General features: G+C 42.2%; 2 long non-coding RNA genes, 1 other non-coding gene and 1 pseudogene across 3 annotated transcripts in view; 3 read left to right on the top strand and 1 right to left on the bottom strand.

The window, feature by feature from the left end:
* Nucleotides 1-20,368, top strand: part of LOC101927040 (uncharacterized) — a 102,366-nt gene that overhangs the window by 64,646 nt on the left and 17,352 nt on the right. Inside the window, exon 4 of the long non-coding RNA NR_110954.1 lies at nucleotides 4,895-4,981. This is a non-coding gene — a long non-coding RNA (uncharacterized LOC101927040). The remainder of the gene's footprint in view (nucleotides 1-4,894; nucleotides 4,982-20,368) is intronic.
* The window catches only part of LINC01607 (long intergenic non-protein coding RNA 1607), a 34,701-nt gene continuing 18,582 nt past the window's right edge, over nucleotides 4,250-20,368 (bottom strand). Inside the window, exon 4 of the long non-coding RNA NR_125410.1 lies at nucleotides 4,250-4,605. This is a non-coding gene — a long non-coding RNA (long intergenic non-protein coding RNA 1607). The remainder of the gene's footprint in view (nucleotides 4,606-20,368) is intronic.
* RNU7-85P (RNA, U7 small nuclear 85 pseudogene) lies at nucleotides 6,798-7,056 on the top strand (annotated as a pseudogene).
* On the top strand, nucleotides 6,897-6,959 carry LOC124902076 (U7 small nuclear RNA). The gene has a single exon (XR_007061196.1). It is a non-coding gene; the product is annotated as a U7 small nuclear RNA (small nuclear RNA).

The raw sequence follows: 20,368 nt of genomic DNA, 5'->3' as shown, positions 1-20,368 counted from the left end.
TGAAACTTCATCTCTACTAAAAATACAAAAATTAGCTGGGCATGGTGGCGCACGCCTGTAATCCCAGCTACTCAGGAGGGTGAGGCAGGAGAATTCCTTGAACCCAGGAGGCGAAGGTTGCAGTGAGCCAAGATTGCGCCACTGTACTCCAGCTTGGGTGACAGAGTGAGACTCCATATCAAAAAACAAACAAACAAAACAAAAACAAAAAAACTCTTTTTTCCCAAATACAGTCACATTCTGAGGTACTAGGAGGTTAGGACATTGGCAGATGAATTTGCTGGGGGTGGTGTCACAGTTCAGCCTACAACACTTATTTTTGATAGCACACAGTATGTAACATGGTGCCAGCCACATTTGTGTCCTTAATTAATTAAACAACCTGGGAAGAAACCAGGGAAGGGGAAACAAGTCAGGAAGTAGAGAAAAGTAATCCCTAAAATCTGTTTCCCATACGATCTTGGGGAAATAGTGGAGAAAGCAAGAGAGGTTATTCTTCACCTCTAATGTTTTCCTTTCAGTCACACATCCTCATACAAGAGGATTATTTCATTAGACTTGGGTTTCCTTCTGCTTGCAAAATGATACCCCTGGGAAGGATGACATAATAAAAAGACAAAATGGAGCAAGGCAGATTCTGCTTTTGTTGCTCACAACGATGATACCTTTGTGGCCTGGCACATAGTACATGTTAGTGATTGTTGGTTTTACTCTTATTGTTATTACCATGACCATGATTATTATGGATTCTAAGTTCTATGAAGACAATGATATTTATTTTTTCATTGCTGTACTCTCTGGCCTCACACAGTACTTAGTAAAAAGTAGAAGCTCAACATATTTGTTAAATAAATGGACATAACCTCTGAGGTTCTCTTTCCTCATCTCTAAAAAGAACTAATATTTATTGAGCAATTACTATATGTGAGGTCTTGTGCTACCTGTTTTAGATGGATTATTTTATTTAATCCTCATAGCAATCGTGTGAGGTAAGTACTGTTTTTATTCCCAGTTTTCAGATGAAGAAAGTGAGGCAAAGAGAGTTAAGTAACTGGTCAAGGTCACACAATTAACAAGCTGTGAGCTCTGACTTAGTTGTACTCAAACCTGAAGTACTAACCAATATATTATATTGCCTCCTTCATTTCTATAAAGAGGATAAAAATTCCCACCTCACAGGCTTGTTGAGAGGAATTAATGGGAATTTGTAAAGTGTCTAATATGCAGTAGGAGCTCAATCAATATCAAACCCTCTGCTTTACTCTGCACAACTTATGTTACTGTGTAGACAAGTGCTGTGGGATCTGTCCTCTAACTAAAAACTCTCCCCAAATCCTCTATTAACCCAAGCACCCTGCAGCTGCTGCCCCATTTTTCTTGCTTCCCTTCATAGTGAAATTACTCTGTACTGAAGAGATGTCTGTACTTCCTTTCCTCATCTCCCGTTTGGTCTTGATCCCAGAAAAATGAGACTTCTGCTTCTCCTCTCTTCTGAAACTGCTCTTAGCAAGATAACCAAATACACCCAACAAGTTCAATCCAACAGCTCTTTCCTGTTTCCTTTTTTTTTAACCTCATAGCATCATTCAACAGAGCCAATCACTCCCTCTTTCTTAAAGCTTCTTCTCAAAACTCCCTGATTTTGTTTTACTTCCCTGGATGCTCCTTCTTTGTCCCCTTTGCTAGTTCTGTTACCTCTGTTCTAAGTCTAAATGTTGAAGTATCAAAGTATCCCAGGCCTCAACATATATATATATATATATATTTTTTTTTTGAGACAGGTTCTTGCTCTGTCTCCTGGGCTGGAAGATAGTGGTATGATCATGGCTCATTGCAGTCTTGAACTCTTGGGCTCAAGCTCTCCTCCTGCCTCAGCCTCAGGAGTAGCTGGGACTACAGGTATGCACCACCACACCCAGCTAATTATTATTTATTTTTTGTAGAGACAGCATCTCACTATATTGCCCAGGCTGGTCTCCAGCTGCTGGCTTCAAGCAGTCCTCCCCACTCAGCCTCCCAAAGTGCTGGGATTACAGGAATGAGCCACTGCACCTGGCCTCAACTTCTTTATCTATATTCTCCAGCCAGGAAATCACATCCAGACCCATGACTTAAATGGCATCTGTATGTGGATGGTTCCAAATGTCTGTCTCCAGCCCTCATTTCTCCCTGGAGCTTCAGATTCATGTATCCAGCTTCCCATATGACACTGCCACTTGGAATTGTAATGGGCATCTCAGACATCACATAAAATACAATTGATTCAGCATTCCCTTCCTTTTCCCAACCTGGACCTCCTACATTCTTCCCCACTCATGCAGTGGCTCCATCTTCCACACAGTTTTTCAGAACAAAGATCCAGGAGTCACCTGTATCTCCCTTATTCTACATTTGCTCCACCAATGAGTCCTGTTGAAGGGTTTACTGCCAAAACATATCTCAAATCTATCTATCTCAAATCTCCTCCTTGGTATTAAAATAAAATTCAGAGTTTTAGGTAGGTGTAGAGGGTTCCCCAAGGTCCATCCCCCTCCCTCTAGGGCCTTCACCATGGTTGAAATCCCCCTCATTCATGGTGCTTCAGGCACATCTTCTCTGTTCCTTGAACATGGCTGACCTATTTCTGTCTAAGGGCCTTCGCACTTGCTATTCTTTGTGCCTGAAATTCTTTTCCCCAGATCTTTACATGGCTGGCTGCTTTTTATCATTTAGGTCTCAACTAAAATGTCATCTCCTCAGAGAAGACTTCCATAATCACATTGGTTAAAGTAGCTTTTTTTTTTTCTTTTGAGCTAGAGGCTCGCTCTGTCTCCCAGGCTGGAGTGCAATGGCGTGATCTCGGCTCACGGCAACCTCTGCCTCCCGGGTTCAAGCTATTCTCCTACTTCAGCCTCCTGAGTAGCTGGGATTACAGGCACGTGCCACCATGCCCAGCTAATTTTTGTATTTTTAGTAGAGACGGGGTTTCACTATGCTGGCCAGGCTGGCCTCGAACTCGTGACCTCGTGATCTGCCCACCTCAGCCCCCAAAGTGCTGGGATTACAGTCGTGAGGCACCACGACCGGCCTAAAGTGGCTTCTGACCCACAGCTGTACATCTCTCTAGTAGTTAGTAAAGTGTTTGGCTGCAAATAAGAACAAACTTAACAAAGGCCTAAATGGATGGAGCCTTATTTGTCTCAAACTGATGAAGATGTCCAGGGTAGTTAGGTGAAGGCTCTGCAGGGCTCAATAGTGACAGCAGGGATGCAGCCTCCTTCTTGCTTCCTACTCTGCGGTAGTCATTAACATCATGACATTCTTCCATATGATGATCACTCCATGATTGCAAGATAGCTGCTGTGCCTCTGGGTATTATATCTTTGTTTCAAACAAGGAGAAGGGAGAGTTTAAAGGATCAAAGTCTTTTCTTATGTGGCTCTGGCTCTGCATTTTATTGGGCAGGAAAGTGCTCCTCAGGGTATTTTGTTTGGAGCCATGGATTTGTGTCAGGCTGCTACTCTCTTAGCAGTAAGGGAGGTTGGGGAAACAAGCATTTCACCTTTCTGGCATGTACTCTAGAAACTGCAAGGGACAAGGGGGATGTGAATGACACAGGCCAGCAAATCCCAGCCACCTTTTGTGTTAGATTGTTCTGCGTAATTTTTTTCATCAAATTTGTTTTTTATAATTTTTTCATAAAATTTAGCTTTTAATTTTTTTTTTTGAGACAGGATCTTGCTCTGTTGCCCAGGCTGGAGTGCATTGGCACCATCTTAGCTTCACCTCCTGGGCTCAAGCAATAACCTTCACCTTCACCTCCTGGGCTCATAACCTTCACCTCCCAGGCTCAATCAATCCGCCCGCCTCAGCCTCCAGAGTAGCTGGGACTACAGGTGTGCACCACCATTCTTAGCTAATTTTTTCATTTTTGTTGTTGTGGGGGTCTCACTATGTTGCTAGGGCTTGTCTTGAACTCCCGGGCTCAAGTGGTCCTCCCATTTTGGTCTCCCAAGTGCTGGGATTACAAGCATGAGCCACCACATCAGGCCCAAAGTTATGATTATGTGAAATTATCTTACTATTTAACTGTTTTCTTACCTATGGAATGCTCTTATTTATGGTAAGCTACAGAAGAATAGAATACAGAAGAATCTCTTTTGTTTGAGGCTGTGACCAGAAGTCCCTGGCACATAGTAGGCATTCTATAACCATTTGTTGATTTTCAGATAAACAAGTGAACAAACAAAAGAGAAAATGTGCCTCCATGTTGCAAATAGATTTCTGTAATACATAATACATCCACAAAGCACTAGATAATCAAAGTTTAATTGTGAACATCCTATGCAAATTGCTGGCATGCCATGAGGATGCTGTTGAATGTGCTGTCCTTTTGATCTAAGGAATAATAGTGGTCCTGTTCACCACAGTTGCATTGGTAAGAGTGACGATGGTATCTTCTGTGAGGTCCACTCTGTCTCTTCAAGTTGTCTTTGTGACAGAGAGCTTGACTAGCAGAGTGTTCATGGGTCAGAGAGAAGCACAGTGTCTTCCCACAGGATTTAGCCACTGGCCATGTCTGGATTCATGGTCGAATTCACTAGACTTCCTGGACACATACAAGCCCTAGAATAGGACATAAAATACCAATGACATAGACACAGGCTTGGTCAGGTACATGCCAAATTTCTATGCCAACCCAAAGCTCTATTTATAAGAAAGGATTTTGTAGTGGCTTTCAAGCTCAAGGTTGAACATGGTCACTGTTGGAATCTAGACAGCCTGGTAATGGTTAGTGGGCTAAGAGAGTAGACTCCTTTGCAGAGGGCACTGAATAGCCTCACGGGAGTGCCTCAGCCTAAGGAAGAGGTGGCCTACTAAGTTCAGCTAATCTGAATGTCTTGGTGTCCAGCAGGGAGGAAGGAGAGAGTCTGAATACTGCTCCTTGTCCTCAGATGAGCTCTTCCTGTACTCATGTCTGGATCCAGAGGAAATAAGACATGTAAGTAAATATGGGAAGTATTTTCATTACAAAACCTCCAACTACAAAGCACAGTGTCATACTGCTTTGGTGCCTGTGTGACAAGAGGTTATACAAGGCGAGAAGGAGGTGCTCTTTCCCTTTCTTCATGGCTTACAGCCATGGCTGTGATGCACAGAGGGCTTCGGAGAACACAGAACCTCCTTAGCTTGTTGAGGTTTCCAGTGCGGTAGCCACATCTTTAGCACTTGTTCCTGAGCACACCGAAAACATCTCCAGGAATGCTCAGAAACAAGCAGGAGAGACCTGGAGGGGATGGAGTTCCTACAAAAGTGAGTAGGAAGGAGAGCTTGAGATGTTTGTTTCATTGTTTGTAATAGGAACCCATTTTAAACATTAGTTCCCATCCCCATCTCAGCCTAATGAAGCCCATAGAAAATGGGCTCATACATTTGTTGAACAAATATTTATTGCCAGGCACTGTACTAGATGCTGAAGATAGAGCAAGGAACAAAATAGACAAAGTCGTTACTTTCATAGAACTTACATTATACAGGGAGAGTCTTAGTCTATTGGGCTGCTATAGCAAAATACCATAACCCGGATAACTCATAAACAATAGAAATTAATTTTTCCCTGTTCTGAGGCTGGGAAGTTCAAGATAAAAGTGCTGGCAGATTCAGTGCCTGGTGAGGACCCTCCTTCCTGGTTCATCGACACTGTCTTTTCTGTATCCTCACATGGGAGAAGAGGCGAGGGTCTCTTGGGGGCCTTTTTTATAATGGCACTAAATCAGTTTGTGAGGGCTCTACCTTCATGACCTGATCACCTCTTAAAGACCCCACCTCCTCATACCATTATACTTGGGGTTTAGGATTTTAACAAATGAATTTTGGGAAGACACAACATTCAGCCCACAGCAAGGAGAGATAGAAAATTAACAGATTTTGATGATAAAATTGCTGGAAGGACTAAGAATTGGATATAAAAAGAAAAATTCATTGAGAATATTTCATCAAGAGTCAAAAGAAAAGTTTGGGGAGAATTAATCATAGGAGGAAGATATCAACTATTCTCCATCTGCACTTAAATGACTGCAAGTCATAACCAGCCTTTCTGTGAGCTACACCAGACCTTCCAAGGCCAACCCTCTTTGTCCCCTCTCTGCACACCTAGAGCCTCATGGCCTTTGCCGCACATGTGGCCTGGCATTGTGATTTATGAGTGTGTTGTCTCTGTGGCAGAACTGTGAGTTCTGCAGCACCTCGTGCAATGACAAGCCCATTGCAGGGCCTCCAGAAATATCTGGTGACCATCACTCTGGTGACAGAGTGAATGAATGGAGTCACGTTGCAACAGGTGAGGTTTAGGTCAGACGTAAATGCTTCTTGTCAGGCACATGAAATGCTAAAACAGCTGTGAGGGGGAGGTTGTGGCTCACCCCATGTCAGGCTTCAGCTCAGGGAGGATTAACCCCTTGGCTGCAGAAAGTTGCTGGGAGTGGGTCATTCTCAGCCACTGCACATACTGGAGGGTTGTGAGGTCAGTCCAGCTCACTGTCCACAGAGGACCTGTGAAAATACACAGGGTTTTAGAAGCCTAGCAATAGAGGGTGTCACGATGCATGGGACTCTGATGAATCTCAGGCCAAATCCTGAAAACCACTTACTACCTTGACCAGAAAAAGAAAAGGTGTGAGTGATCAGTTTGTTAAGTTCTGCAAAATGCATGGAATTTTCATGAATGACTCTCATTTTACCCAGGCTGTTCCCATCCTAAAAAGTAATATATGCCTTGCAATCACCCCTTCAAGGCAGGTAAAACCCTGATGGGTATGCAGAGGCCATTTGGTATCTCTGGGTAATATGAATGCAAAGGACTGAGAATGAAGCACACTGTTTATTTGGCAGCACTGAAAAAGAAGAGTTAAAAAAAAAAGTGTTAACAGCTCTTGCAGAATTTGTCTAGCAGGCTTTCCAGTTTTTTCTGGAAAGCCTCATTGAAAAAAATAAAAAAGAAAGAAAGAGAGGACTAAATAATGAGAGCACACCTTAGCCATTGTTTGTCTACTTTGACTAAGAGCATAGTAGAAATGCATTGTGTATTATGATCCAGCCCACAGTAATGATGCATCACCTACCTACCTGCCTGAACTAAGTATTTCATAAAACAATACTTCATGATGTGCAATGTACTCTAATATTTTCTATTATACTCTTTTCTTATTTTTAGAAAACACTGGTCATTTCCTATTAAACTGAGTGGGCAGTGGCTGTCAATTTGCAATACACTGCCCCAGGTGACCTTAGAATGATTTAGTGATATGGTTAATTGGAATTGAAATTGCATTCTGTAATGTGGGTTGCTGGAACATCTCAGAGCTTCAGCCTGTGCAGAGAATGTTGATGTTTGTTTTTGTACTGCTCCAGGCAGGTTTAGGAGCCTGTTAACCCGGCACGCCCAAGCCATCTTTGGTGAAAGGTCAAGAGTCTGCGTGAGCAGAGTCACCTCCTGCAAGTCCCTCAGACTCAAGGAGTCTTCCCTGTCTCCACCCACAAAACAGAAATCCATCAAAATCTCATTGATTCAGACTCTGTGACAGAATGAAATTTATAATTTATTTAGGGGTTATTACAAATGCTTGTTTCAGAAATGCAAATTTACTCAAGTAATCATTTTTGAATTCCTACACAGAAAATTTCAGAATCTTCCCTCTGTACTCTAAAGTGCTAACTGAGGTTTGGGCATTAAGAAAATGAAACTCCCCCCACCCCCACCACTACTCTTACCTCCCTCTGTCAGGTAGAAGCTGTATCCAAAGAATCTGTAGTGGCCATTTCCTTGGGTTATTTAGAGAGTGAACACGAAGTGTTTGAGGCTAGTGGCCTCAAACTAGCCAGAAGAAGCCCACTGCACCCCCATGTAAGAAGGGCAGGGCTAATATATAAAAAATTTCTTTTACCAGTAACATTAAGCTGAGAAAAAGGAATGTTTTGAGTGTCAGATATTAGTGTTAATGTTGTCAAGGCACAGATGCCCTTAAGATCCACTAGTGAGGTCTGGATCTCTTTTGGTGAGAAGCTTAAACCCAAATGGAAGGATTCATCCTCACCTTTGCTCTGGGACCTGGGCAGGCAGGACGTCTTTTTGTTCACCAGTGTATACTTAGTCATGAGGGTCTGGCTTAGTCTGCGTACTTAAAAAGCAGATATGGGACAAATGACAGAGATATGTTGGAGTCAATCCCTTCCTGGGAGGTCTGTGCCTTGGAGCTTTCTCTTTATGTGGCATGAGGGCAGGTGACAGGAGCCAGAAGGTCTATGCTGTCCTCTGACACTGTGATTCTCCCCCCAGATGGTGCCAGCTCCCCAGCGTTGGGCTTTGTGTGCACACTTGCCAGGCCATGTGGTGGTCAGGGGTGGCCAGGGCAAGGGGCAAATGTGTGCCCAACCTCTTTCTTTCCAGCCTCTGATGTGGGCTCTGACATGGAATCCCCTGGAATCCTCCAACTAGAGGTGCACAGATTGAATAGAGAAAGACTCAGCCCTTTGATAGCACCAGGGCTCAGCAAAGGCACCCCTTGAGGAAGGAAGATGGGGTGCAGTAACACCTGCATTATGATAATGCTGAGGCTTTGGCGAGATCTGCTCTTAGTCATATGGTTATTTGGCTGATTTTTACTTCCAGTCTGGTATAATTATCTTTAGGCACCCATTCATCTACTACCTTAAAGATAGAAAAATTCCCGGATTTTTTAAATAGCATTTCCACTGCTGAAGTTTTTTTGTTTTTGTTTTTTCCCCCTGAAATGCTGGCTGTGCTTTCAGGAAATTAGACCTTATTTAAAGCCCCAATATGTCTAGTTCTTTATGTTAGGGAAGACACGATGTTTGGAACATATGTAGGAGATTGGCTGAGATTTATATCTGTTTGTGTCTATAAGATCAATGCCTGCTGCCTGGAGTATAGCTCCTACAGGGCCGGGCCATGCTTTCTACTTGTGAACTACATGAGGGTCAGCAATTGTGCACGATACAATACTTGTGAACTACAGAATAGACTGACAGATCTTGTTTATGGGGTAGAGTCACTGTGAATCAGAAGAGGCTTCTTACTGCTAGGACTTACGTAATTACCAGGAATCTAAAATGAAACAGTTATGCAGTGTTAAGAGTAAAACCAACTATATCTTCTCAATAAGGGATTATAGCAAATGGATGGCCCTATTTTCTGCAGATTTACAAGATCATTAATAGGCATAAAGCCTATAAGAGGTCTAACCATACATTCACTTTATAGAGGATTTCAGTGTCAAAACTGTTAAAAAAGTGAAAATGAAATAATTTCCATGACTATAAATTGCCTTTTTTTTTCTTTTTTCTTGAAACAGAGTCTGCTCTGTCTCCTAGGGTGGAGTGCAATGGCACAATCTGGGCTCACTGCAACCTCTGCCTCCTCAGTTCATGTGATTCTCCTGCCTCAGCCCCCGAGTAGCTGGGACTACAGGCACATGCCACCACACCCGGCTAATTTTTGTATTTTTAGTAGAGATGGGGTTTCACCATGTTGGCCAGGATGGTCTCGAACTCCTGACCTCAGGTGGTCCGCCCGCCTTGGCCTCCCAAAGTGCTGGGATTACAGGCATGAGCACCGCACCCCTCCTGGATTGCCTTTTTAAATAAAAAATAAAATATATATATATATATTTTTTTTTTCCTCTTGCAATCCCTCAAAAGACTTATGAGTATGTTTGCTTTTTAGTTTTTAAAAACTACATTTAACAGATGAGGAAACTAAAATAGGAAGAATTTAGAATTCAAGATTGTTACTTTCCATTTTTGAATAGTTTTCAAAACGTTTTCTCTTAGATGATCTCATTACATTGTCATAACAATCCTATAAGATGGTGTTATTAGGATTAGTTCTATTGAGGTAGAAAAAGATTAGGAGAAGCGGAAAGTGTGAAGCGCCATACTGCCTTGCTTCTGTCCCCAGAGACATGTGCTAAAGCCAAGGCAAAGTCTTTTGCCCCTGAACCCGGGGGCATGCCCGGGAGCCAGGCTGGACTGCTTGTAGGGCTCCTCGTGACACAGCAGAGGCAGCAATGTGGTAAGTAGGCCCCAAGCTTTACTTGCCTGCCACCAAGCTTTACTTAATTCTCAACCCTCTGTTTTTAAGCCCCGAGTCCAAGGAGAGGCTGGTTCAAGAAAATATGAGATCAGCAAAGGAGAGGAAAAGGAGATTCTTTCTAAGCCTATAGCAGGCCTGGCTTATTTTACTTCATCAGAGCAGAATAGCTCCTAGGCTGGAGTAGCCCAGGACCCATCCTGAGTTACTAGCCATGAGGGATTTGCAATTCAAAGAGATTATAATTCTTTAGAGGGTGAGACCATACTACTCACCAGTTGGCCCAGGAACAAGCCCTTGATTCATCCATGTCAGCCCTCATTCTCCTTAGGGAATAAAGGAGAGGGGATGAAGGAAGAATATAAGATAGACTTGAGCCCCTTATGGGCTAAAAATCATTCCTGTATTATAACTGAAGATACCAAGGTTCAAAAGGTCAAGTGGCTTGTCCCAAGTCATGCAGCTGAGCACAGATAGGCTGCAAACCTGGTCCTCTCACTCCAAGCCCAATACAATAATGGCATCCATCCTAGCCTTCTGTTTGACCTACAGAATTTCATTGTCTGTTCTCCCACTCCCCATTTCCTGCCGAGTCTGGACACATGGAACAGATTGTACACACTGGGCCACTGCCACTAAAGAGCTGTGAAATAGAATGGAGGGAATATATGTGAGTATAAGTTCTTATGTGCAGAGGAATGAAAGGATCTGATATATGAAGAAAGACTTAAAGGAGCTAAGTAGGTGGAACTGAGTTACTTGATGACTTTGAGGGATATGACATCAGGCTGTAAACATGTGAAGGACAGAAATACCTGGAAAGATGAACTATTTAGTATGAAATATGGGATATAATGAAAGAATGAGCAATAACTAATGGAGGTAATTCTCTTTTCCTTTTTTTTTTGAGATGGAGTCTCGCTCTGTCGCTCAGGCTGGAGTATAATGGTGTGATCTGGGCTCACTGCAGCCTCGACCTCCCAGGTTCAAGTGATTCTCCTGCCTCAGCCTCCCGAGTAGCTGGGACTACAGGCATGAGCCACTGCACATGGCCTCTTTTCCTTTCTCTTAGGGATGAGAGTAGTAACAGACTTCAGGTACCTGATACAATCTTAGAAGTTATTTTTTTTCAAACAATCCTTTATTCTAGTGGGATTAAATAGAAGAAAAAATGAAGCTTTCAATCCCAGCTAAATTTAACAGCCCATTTTAAATAAGCTTTGCACAAATGCTTCTTCTTTCAAATCTTCTCTGTCTACTGTCAACTCTTTAACTCCTGCCTGCAATGATTCTCACTGGGCATATTGCAGTGGTCTCCAGCCATCCCCTTGCTTTGGGATTTGCCAACCAATTTACCCTCCATGTGGCCAGGGAGTAAGCTTTTTAAACCACTTACCAGAACAATGATTTAAAAGTACACATCCTGGCCAGGCACAGTGGCTCACACCTGTAATCCCAGCACTTTGGGAGGCCTAGGCAGGCGGATCACTTGAGGGCAGGAGTTCGAGACCAGCCTGGCCAACATGGCAAAACACTGTCTGTATTAAAAATACAAAAATTAGCTGGGCATGGTGATGTGCACCTGTAATCCCAGCTACCTGAAATGCTGAGGTGCCAGAATTGCTTGAAGCTGGAAGGCAGAGGTTGCAGTGAGCTGAGATTGTGCCACTGCACTCCAGCCTGGGTGTCAGAGTGAGACTCTGTCTCAAAAAACAAACAAAAAACCCCCCACACATCCTACTATTGAAGACTTTACAGTGCAAGCAACAGAAAACCTGACTCACACTGCTTAAATAGAAAATTTACTTTCTGCGCACAGTGACTCATGCCTGTAATCCCAGCACTTTGGGAGGCTGAGACACACAGATCACTTGAACTCAGGAGTTTGAGACCAGCCTGGGCAACAGGGTAGAACCCTGTCTCTACAAAAAAATCAAAAAATTAGCCGGGCAAGGTGGCATGTGCCTGTAGTTCCAGCTAGGTGGGATACTGAGGTGGGAGGATCGCTTGTGCCTGGGAAGTGGAGGTTGCAGTGAGCCATGATCACGCCACTGTACTCCAGCCTGGACAACAAAGTGAGACCCTGTCTCAAAAAAAAAAAAAAAAAAGTGCTTTCCAGGTTCATGTAAAAGGAAGGTCCAAAAATGGGATAACTGGCTACAGGATGGTTCAATCCAGTGGCTCAATGATGTGACCAAAGACTAAGTTTCTTTGTCTCCCTGCCATGCCTCCTCAGGTGCCTGCTTCTTTCTGTACTGAGGCTGGCTGGTCCTGTACTTGCAAGGAGGCCACAGCTTGTGGACTACACACCCCCACACTTTCAAAAGGAGAGAGAAAAAGAGAGAGAGAGTTCTGTCCCAGAATGCTGGGAAAGAGTCCTAACATTCACTTGATTGGATAGGGCTGGGTCGCAGGCCCAACCTCAAACCTATCTTGTGGCCAGGGGAATGGAAAATGTTGATTGGCTTAAGCAAATCAGGAGCTACTCTGCACCTGGGTATAGGGTTAACTTCGCCAGAAGTACCCAGGCTGATTAGGGATGGAAGATTACAGAACATTTATGAGGATATAAGAGGGATTGAAAGCTGGGTGGGCCACTAGCGACCCTCCACAATTGAGCTAGTGACCATTTGCCCAGTCATAATTCCCATCATACCCACTCACTTAATTCCCACTCTACACCCAGGGTGTAGGCATGTACAACAGCCACATGTGACTATTTGTTTTTCCCTGAAAATCCGCTTCTATGTCTTACTCAAGCTATTCTGTAATCTAGAATATGCCACCCACCCCCCAGCATGTTGAATACCTACTTCACCCTGAAGGTCTAGCTCAAAATCCATTTTTCCATGATGTGATGCTTTTTCAGATCCTTCATTAAATAAATACCTTCCTCCTGCATTTTCAAATTTATCTGCTTCTTCACACCGCCAGCTGTGCAATCCTGGACAACATATTTAACCTCTCTGAGCATCAGTTTATTCTGAAAAGTATAGATAATACTAGTACATATTTCAAGAGTTGTTGTGAGGATTTGATAAATTAATACAGCAGTCCCCTCTGATCTGTGAGTGATATGTTCCAAAACCCCCAGTGGATGCCTGAAACCTTGGATAGTACTGAACCCTATACATATTGTACTATGTTGTTGTCATCTGATGAAGTGACTAACAGGCCGGTAGCATGTGGATAAGCTGGACAAAGGGATGACTCACATCCTGGACGCAATGGAGCAGGATAGCATGAGATTTCATCATGCTACTCAGAAGAGTTTGCAATTTCAAACTTTTAACTGTTTATTTCTGAAATTTTTCAATTAATATTTTTAGAATACAGTTGACTACTGGTAATTGAAATCATGGAAGGCAAAACCGCAGGTAAGAGGGGAATATATATAAAGCCCTTAGAAGAGGGACTTGAGTCTAATAAGCATCAGTACATGTTTTTATTTTGCATTTTATATACCATTGAGCCTTGTGGTAAACTATATTCATGTTTATCTCTTCAATAGGTTGTGTGTTGCTGGAGTACTGACTAACACATATTCACCAATATATCTTTCTTTGACTCATTTAAGAATTATTTAAATTGATACATAGCAGTTGTACATAGTTTAAGGGTACATGTAATATTTTGATACATGCATACAATGTGTAATGTTGAAATCAGGGAAACTGGGATATCCATCATCTAAAACATTTATTATTTCTTTGTGTTGGAAACATTCCAAATGTTCACTTCTAGCTATTTTGAAATACGCAATAAATTATTGCTAACTATAGTTACCCTATTGTGCTATGGAACACTAGAACCTATTCTTTCAATCTAACTGTGTGTCTTTACCCATAAACAACCTCCGTATCCCCCAACATCCCCTTTATCATTCTACTCTCTACCTCTATGACATCAACATTTTTAGCTCCAACATACGAGTGAGAACGTGTAATATCTGTCTTTCTGTGCTTGGCTTATTTCACTTTTTATAATGTCCTCCATGCTCATTCATGCTGCTGTAAATTATAGAATTCCATTATTTTTTATGGCTGAATAGTATTTTATTGTGTATATATATATCGATGTGTATACAGATACACATAGATACACATTTTCTTTATCCATTCATTCATTGATGGACACGTAAGTTGGTTCCATATGTTAGTTACTGTGAATAGTGCTGCAGTAAACATGGGAGTGCAGATACCTCTTTGACTTGATCTCCTTTCTTTTATATAATATATATGTATTTTATATAATATATATGTATTTTATATATATTTTTCTTTTACATTATACACACACACACACATATATATATATGTATCTCAGTGGGATTGCAGGATCATATGACAGGTGCATTTTCAGTTTTTTGAGGAACTTCCATACTGTTTTCCATTGTGGCTGCACTAATTTACACTCCCATCAACAGTGTACTAAAAAATAGACAAATGGGCTTATATCAAGCTAACGGGGTTCTGTGCAACAAAGAAACAATCAAAAGAGTAAAGAGACAGCCTAAAGAATGAAAGATTGCTGGCCAAGGTGGCTTATGTCTGTAATCCTGGTGCTTTGGGAGGCTGACGTGGGAGGATTGATTGAGGTTAGGAGTTCAAGACCAGTGTAGGCAACATAATGAGACCTCATCTTTACAAAAATAAAAAATTAGCCAGGTGTGATGGTGCATGACTGTGGTTTTAGCTACTTGGTAGTTTGAGGCTGCAGCGAACCATGATTGTACTACTGCACTCCAGCTTGGGTGACAGAGACCTGTCTCGAAAAAAAAAAAAAAGGGAGAAAATATTTGCAAACTGCCCAACAAGGGTTTAATAACCAGAACATATAAGGAACTCAAACAAATCAGTAGCAAAAAACTAAGTAACCTGATTTAAAAATGGGCAAATGATCTGAACCGACATTTATCACAAGAAGACATACAAATGGCCAACAGATAAGAAAAAATGCTCATCACTAACCATCATGTAAATGCAAATCAAAACCAAAATGAGATATCATCTCACTCCAGTTAAAATGAATATTATCAAAAAGACAAAAAATAAAAGACAAAATGAGCGGGGCGTTGGTGGCACATGCCTGTAATCCCAGCTACTTGGGAGGCTGAGGCAGGAGAATCACTTGAACCTGGGAGGCAGAGGTTGCCTCACACCATTGTACTCTAGCCTGGGCAACAAGAGTGAAACTTCATCTAAAAAAGAAAAAGAGAGAGAGAGATAAAGAATATGGAAGGATGATGCTATGACAAGCACAACAAGATTTAACAACAAAAGATAAAAAATGCCGAGAATTGCTTGAACTCGGGAGGCAGAGGTTGCAGTGAGCCATGAAGGCACCACTGCACTCCAGCCTGGGCAACAGAGTGAGACTGTGTCTCAAAATAAAAATAAAAATAAAAAATGCTAGCAAGGATGTGGGGCAAAGGGAATGCTCATTAACAAACAGCTTTGAGTACCACTAGAACTATGTGTTAAATATTGGGTATTTAACTATGTATTAAATACTGGGGTACAGAGAACAGAATATGCTCACTGTCTGCCCTTTTTAAGGCCTGGCACATTCCAAGCACAGAGTAGGCGATCACCAAATACTTGTAGAGTCTAACTGAAATCAGGACTGATGGAAATAACTGTATTTCCTACCAAGGTGGCCCCGGTGTATCCAAGTGAAGCCACACCATAAAGGTTGGTCCAAAGACTGATGGGAATAACTTGGACTCAACTGAAGTTGCCTTCATTTGGGATTACTGCCAAGGCAGCAAGCAACCAGTGCAAAGGATGTCTCAGAGATAAGGATATGAATGAAGTGATATGACCACCATGAGGTGGTTCCAAAAACCCACTCAGTAGAAGATCCATTAGGTCAGAGGAGTTGAGAGTGGAGGTTTGTGTCTTTTAGGATGAACTGAGGAATGGTGTCACTCAAATTTTGCCCTATGACTAGATAAGGAAATCTTGTTGTGCTTGTCATAGCATCATCCTTCCACATTCTCTCTCTCTCTCTCTCTCTCTCTCTCTCTTTTATTTTTAGATGAAGTTTCACTCTTGTTGCCCAGGCTAGAGTACAATGGTGTGATCTTGGCTCACTGCAACCTCTGCCTCCCAGGTTCAAGTGATTCTCCTGCCTCAGCCTCCCAAGTAGCTGGGATCACAGGCATATGCCACCAATGCCTGGCTCATTTCGTATTTTTAGTAGAGGTGGAGTTTCACCATGTTAGCTAGGCTGGTCTTGAAATCCTGACCTCAGGTGATCCACCTGCCTTGTCCTCCCAAAGTGCTGGGATTACAGGCATGAGCCGCCATGCCCGGCCGATGTTTTTTCTTACTTTGTCTTCAGGCCTACTCAAATGAACCAAGGCATTTTGGAATTAGTTAGGAGACTTGGGAGTAATTCAGATGAGAGACCTCATTGGTAGCCTGAGCAGGATCATTATTAGTAATGGGGACGGAGAGAGGTGTATAGGTTTCAAAATACTTAGGAAGGAGAGTAGACTGGTAATATGGTTTGGCTCTGTGTCCCCACCCAAATCTCATCTTGAATTGTAATCACCATAATCCCCCTGTGTCAAGGGAGGAACCTAGTGGGAGTTGATTGGATCATGGGGGCAGTTTTCCCCATGCTGGTCTCGTGATAGTGAATAAGTCTCACAAGATCTGATGGTTTTATAGAGGGCAGTTCCCCCGACTTGCTCTTCACTCCCTCCTGCTTCCTTGTGAAGAAGGTGCCCCTTTGCCTTCCACCATGATGATAAGTTTCCTGAGGCCGCCTAGCTGTGCTTCCCGTTAAGCCTGTGGAACTGTGAGTCAATTAAACCTCTTTGCTTTATAATTATCCAGTCTCAGGTAGTATTCTTTATAGCAGTGTGAAAAATGAACTAATACAACTGGACTTGATGATTATGTGAATGTGCAAAATATATCAGTGAGAGTGCTTTCTGTTGCAAAAAACTGAAACCCTTTCTTGTGCTGGCAAAAACAAAGAAAATGTATTATCTCAAATAACAGATTTACCGCTGGGAACAGCTTCAGGGCTTATGGGTTCATCAGCCCAACATTCCTTGTCTCTACTCTGCCATCCCCAGCATTGGCTTCATCCTAAGGCTGGTTTTCCCATCAAATCAATTCGTGGCCACCCCCAGTGACATTTTTTGTTGTTGTTGTTCAGATAGAATAGGAGGGAGAAATTAGCCTCTTTCTCTGAGAAGTCTGTGGCAAGCCTCTCCTCATGCTTCATTGGCTAGACTGACTTGGAGCTGCCCACCTCAACCAATCACTAGCAAGGAAGATGATATTACCGTGGTGGACTCACAATCATGGCTTGGGGAGGATGGATACTGGGACAGGCAATCACAGTGTCCAGTAGCTTAGGCAACTAGGTAATGGAAGTGCCATTTACTGAGTAAAGGAATCTGGAAGGAAGAATTTGTTTGGGGAGAAGAGGATGAGCTTATTTTTAGACTTGCATCATGATGTTTGTTTTCACTTCATATAGGATTTCAAAGGGTACTTGGACCTTTGGAGAATTTCTGAGGACATAATTCTTGGCTAAAAAGAATATGGGCCCAACAGGCTATCCACTCTTTTAGGAGTCTTCTTCCATTGCCAACCTGGATTCTATCCTAGATGTGGCAAAGACAGTCCTGCCACACTGTGAAAAAGCCATGTGTGAAAATTTTTCTGCTTCCAAGGGAATGCTCAATTACTCCTTACAAAATCTTCTCAACCTTATGTTGGAAGCTCAGATGAAATACTGAATGTGTAAAGTGCCTGTGACATTTGTTATCATTTGGTAATTTCAGCTCTGCTAATTCAGTCTTTACTGGACTTTCCCACTTCCCAAATGCTGCTTGTGCAATTATTACACTATTATGAGGAGATCGCAATGCACTGCAAACATTTGCTCCAAATGCAAGGTTTAATTTAAGGTGTGTTTGGAATTCACAATTACCTAGCAAAGAACAATCTTAGATCTCGAGAAGCAACATAGTGTAGTGGTTAGGAACACAGATGATGGAGTCAAACTGTCTGGGTTCAAGTCTCAGCTCTACCTGTATAAGCTGTATGACATTGAATCAATTACTTAATCTTGCTCTGTACCTCACTTTCCTCATCTGCAAAGTGAGGATGATTGTGATAACAGTAGAATCTATTTCACGGGCTTATTAGCAAGTTAATTATACATGAAATGCTTAATAACGTACCTGGCACACAGGAGGCACTCTTTGCTAGCTTGGTTGCTGATTATGTTTAAAGAAATCAATCCTTAAGGTAAAAATTCTATACTGTTCTTCCTTTTATTAACACTTTCTAAACCCAATCACATGCTCAGGTTTTGATTAGAATGTTTCTTTTAGCACAGCCCTGTAACTTGATATAGAATCAAAAGCCCATCCCAGAGGGTGGTGCTGACCTTTAGGGCTGCTTAATACCAAAGCTGCCGTCTCTAGGACTTGGCTCCATCTCAGCCACAGGTGGCCTTGTTTAACTGATTACATTCAATTAAAGAGAAGGTCTTAATTTGTCTTCCTAGCACTTAGAATTGGCTAAGATGTTTGACATCACTTCCTGAAGCTAAGATCCCCTGCTTCCTCTTTCTCACAGAAGAAAAGCAAAAAGAAACAGATTCAAATGGAGGAGGAATATTCAGTCTTTAAAAATGTTTACTGGAAGATTATTTCTCCCTCTTTTGCCTTCGATATGTTTATAAAGCACTTATATAATAAATAATACTGGGGAACCAGAAATACCTGCTATAAATATTTTAGAATATTTTCTTCCAGGTTTTAAAATTGTATTTATAGACTGTATTTGACACAGTTGTAATCAACGTATAGATACACTTTTGTATTCTGAATTTTGTTTCATTTAACTTCATAAGTATTTCCCATGTTGCTATCAACTTTTTGTAAAAATTTGTAATAGTTTTGTGGTATTTCACTATATTTAATTATCTATTTTCCCAGTATTGAACACTTGGTTTTAAAAGTATATCTAGGCCAGGTGCAATGGCTCAGGCCTGTAATCCCAGCACTTTGGGAGGCTGAGGTGGGCAGATCACTTGAGGTCAGGAGTTCAAGACCAGTCTGACCAACATGGTGAAACCCTGTCTCTACTAAAAATACAAAAATTAGCCAGGTGTGGTGGTGGGTGCCTGTAATCCCTGCTACTCGGGAGGCTGAGACAGGAGAATCACCTGAGCCCGGGAGGTGGAGGTTTCAGCGAGTACTGCACTCCAGCCTGGGTGACAGAGTAAGAGTCCTTCCCAAAAAAAAAAAAAAAAAAAAAAGTACGTCTAATGTCTTCATTTTCCCCCAGTATTTTTGGTGTCTTATTTAGGACCCATTTTAGGCAATGGAATATCTAGGTAAAGGGTGTGAACTTTTTTTTTTTTTTTTTGAGACAGTGTCCCTGTGTCACCCAGGCTGGAGTGCAGTGGCGTGATCTTGGCTCACTGCAACTTCGGCCTCCTGGCCGCAAGTGATTTTCCTGCCTCAGCCTCCTGAGTAGCTGGGACTACAGGTACGTCACCATGCCCGGCTAATTTTTATATTTTCAGTAGAGATAGGATTTCACCATGTTGGCCAGGCTGGTCTCGAACTCCTGACTTCAGGTGATCCTCCTGCCTTGGCTTCCCGAAGTGCTGGGATTACAGACGTGAGCTGCCACGCCTGGCCAGGTATGAACATTTTGAAGGTTCTTGATTCACACTGTCCATTCTAAAATGTCTGCCCTAACTTACCTCCCCAGCAACAATGGGCGAGAGTGCCATCAGCAGAAGAGAAATAGATTTTATCCTAGTACTGTTCAGAGGCAGCTGGTAGGGTTATCACCTTCCCTCCTTAATCCCTTCCCACCCTTTATTTTGATTAACTTAAAAACAACATGTAACATAAACGTTACCATTTTAACCATTTTTAAGTGTACAGTTCAGTAAAGTATATTCACATTGTTGTGAAACAAATTTCCAGAACTTTTTCATCTTGCAAATCTGATACTCTGTACCCATGAAACAACACCCCTTTCCTCCTCCTCACAAACCCTGGCAAGCACCACTTTGCGCTCTGTTTCTGTGAATTTGACTACTTTTGATTCCTCCTGTAAGTGGGATCATAGAGTCCTACTGAGGCGCTTTTGGGGCAGCATATCTAGGAATTACAGCAAGTCCTTGAATAACAACATTTTGTTCAATGTTTTTTTGTTATAACATTAATGAGAAAAAAATGATTCCTGGCTGGAGCCACTGTGTGTGGAGCTTGTGAATTCTCCCCACATC

This window comes from Homo sapiens, chromosome 8 (assembly GCF_000001405.40).
Source record: "Homo sapiens chromosome 8, GRCh38.p14 Primary Assembly".
Classification (NCBI taxonomy): Eukaryota; Metazoa; Chordata; class Mammalia; order Primates; family Hominidae; genus Homo; species Homo sapiens.
The sequence above is the reverse complement of the archived record's forward strand: the minus strand, read 5'-3'. Positions and strand labels throughout refer to the sequence as shown.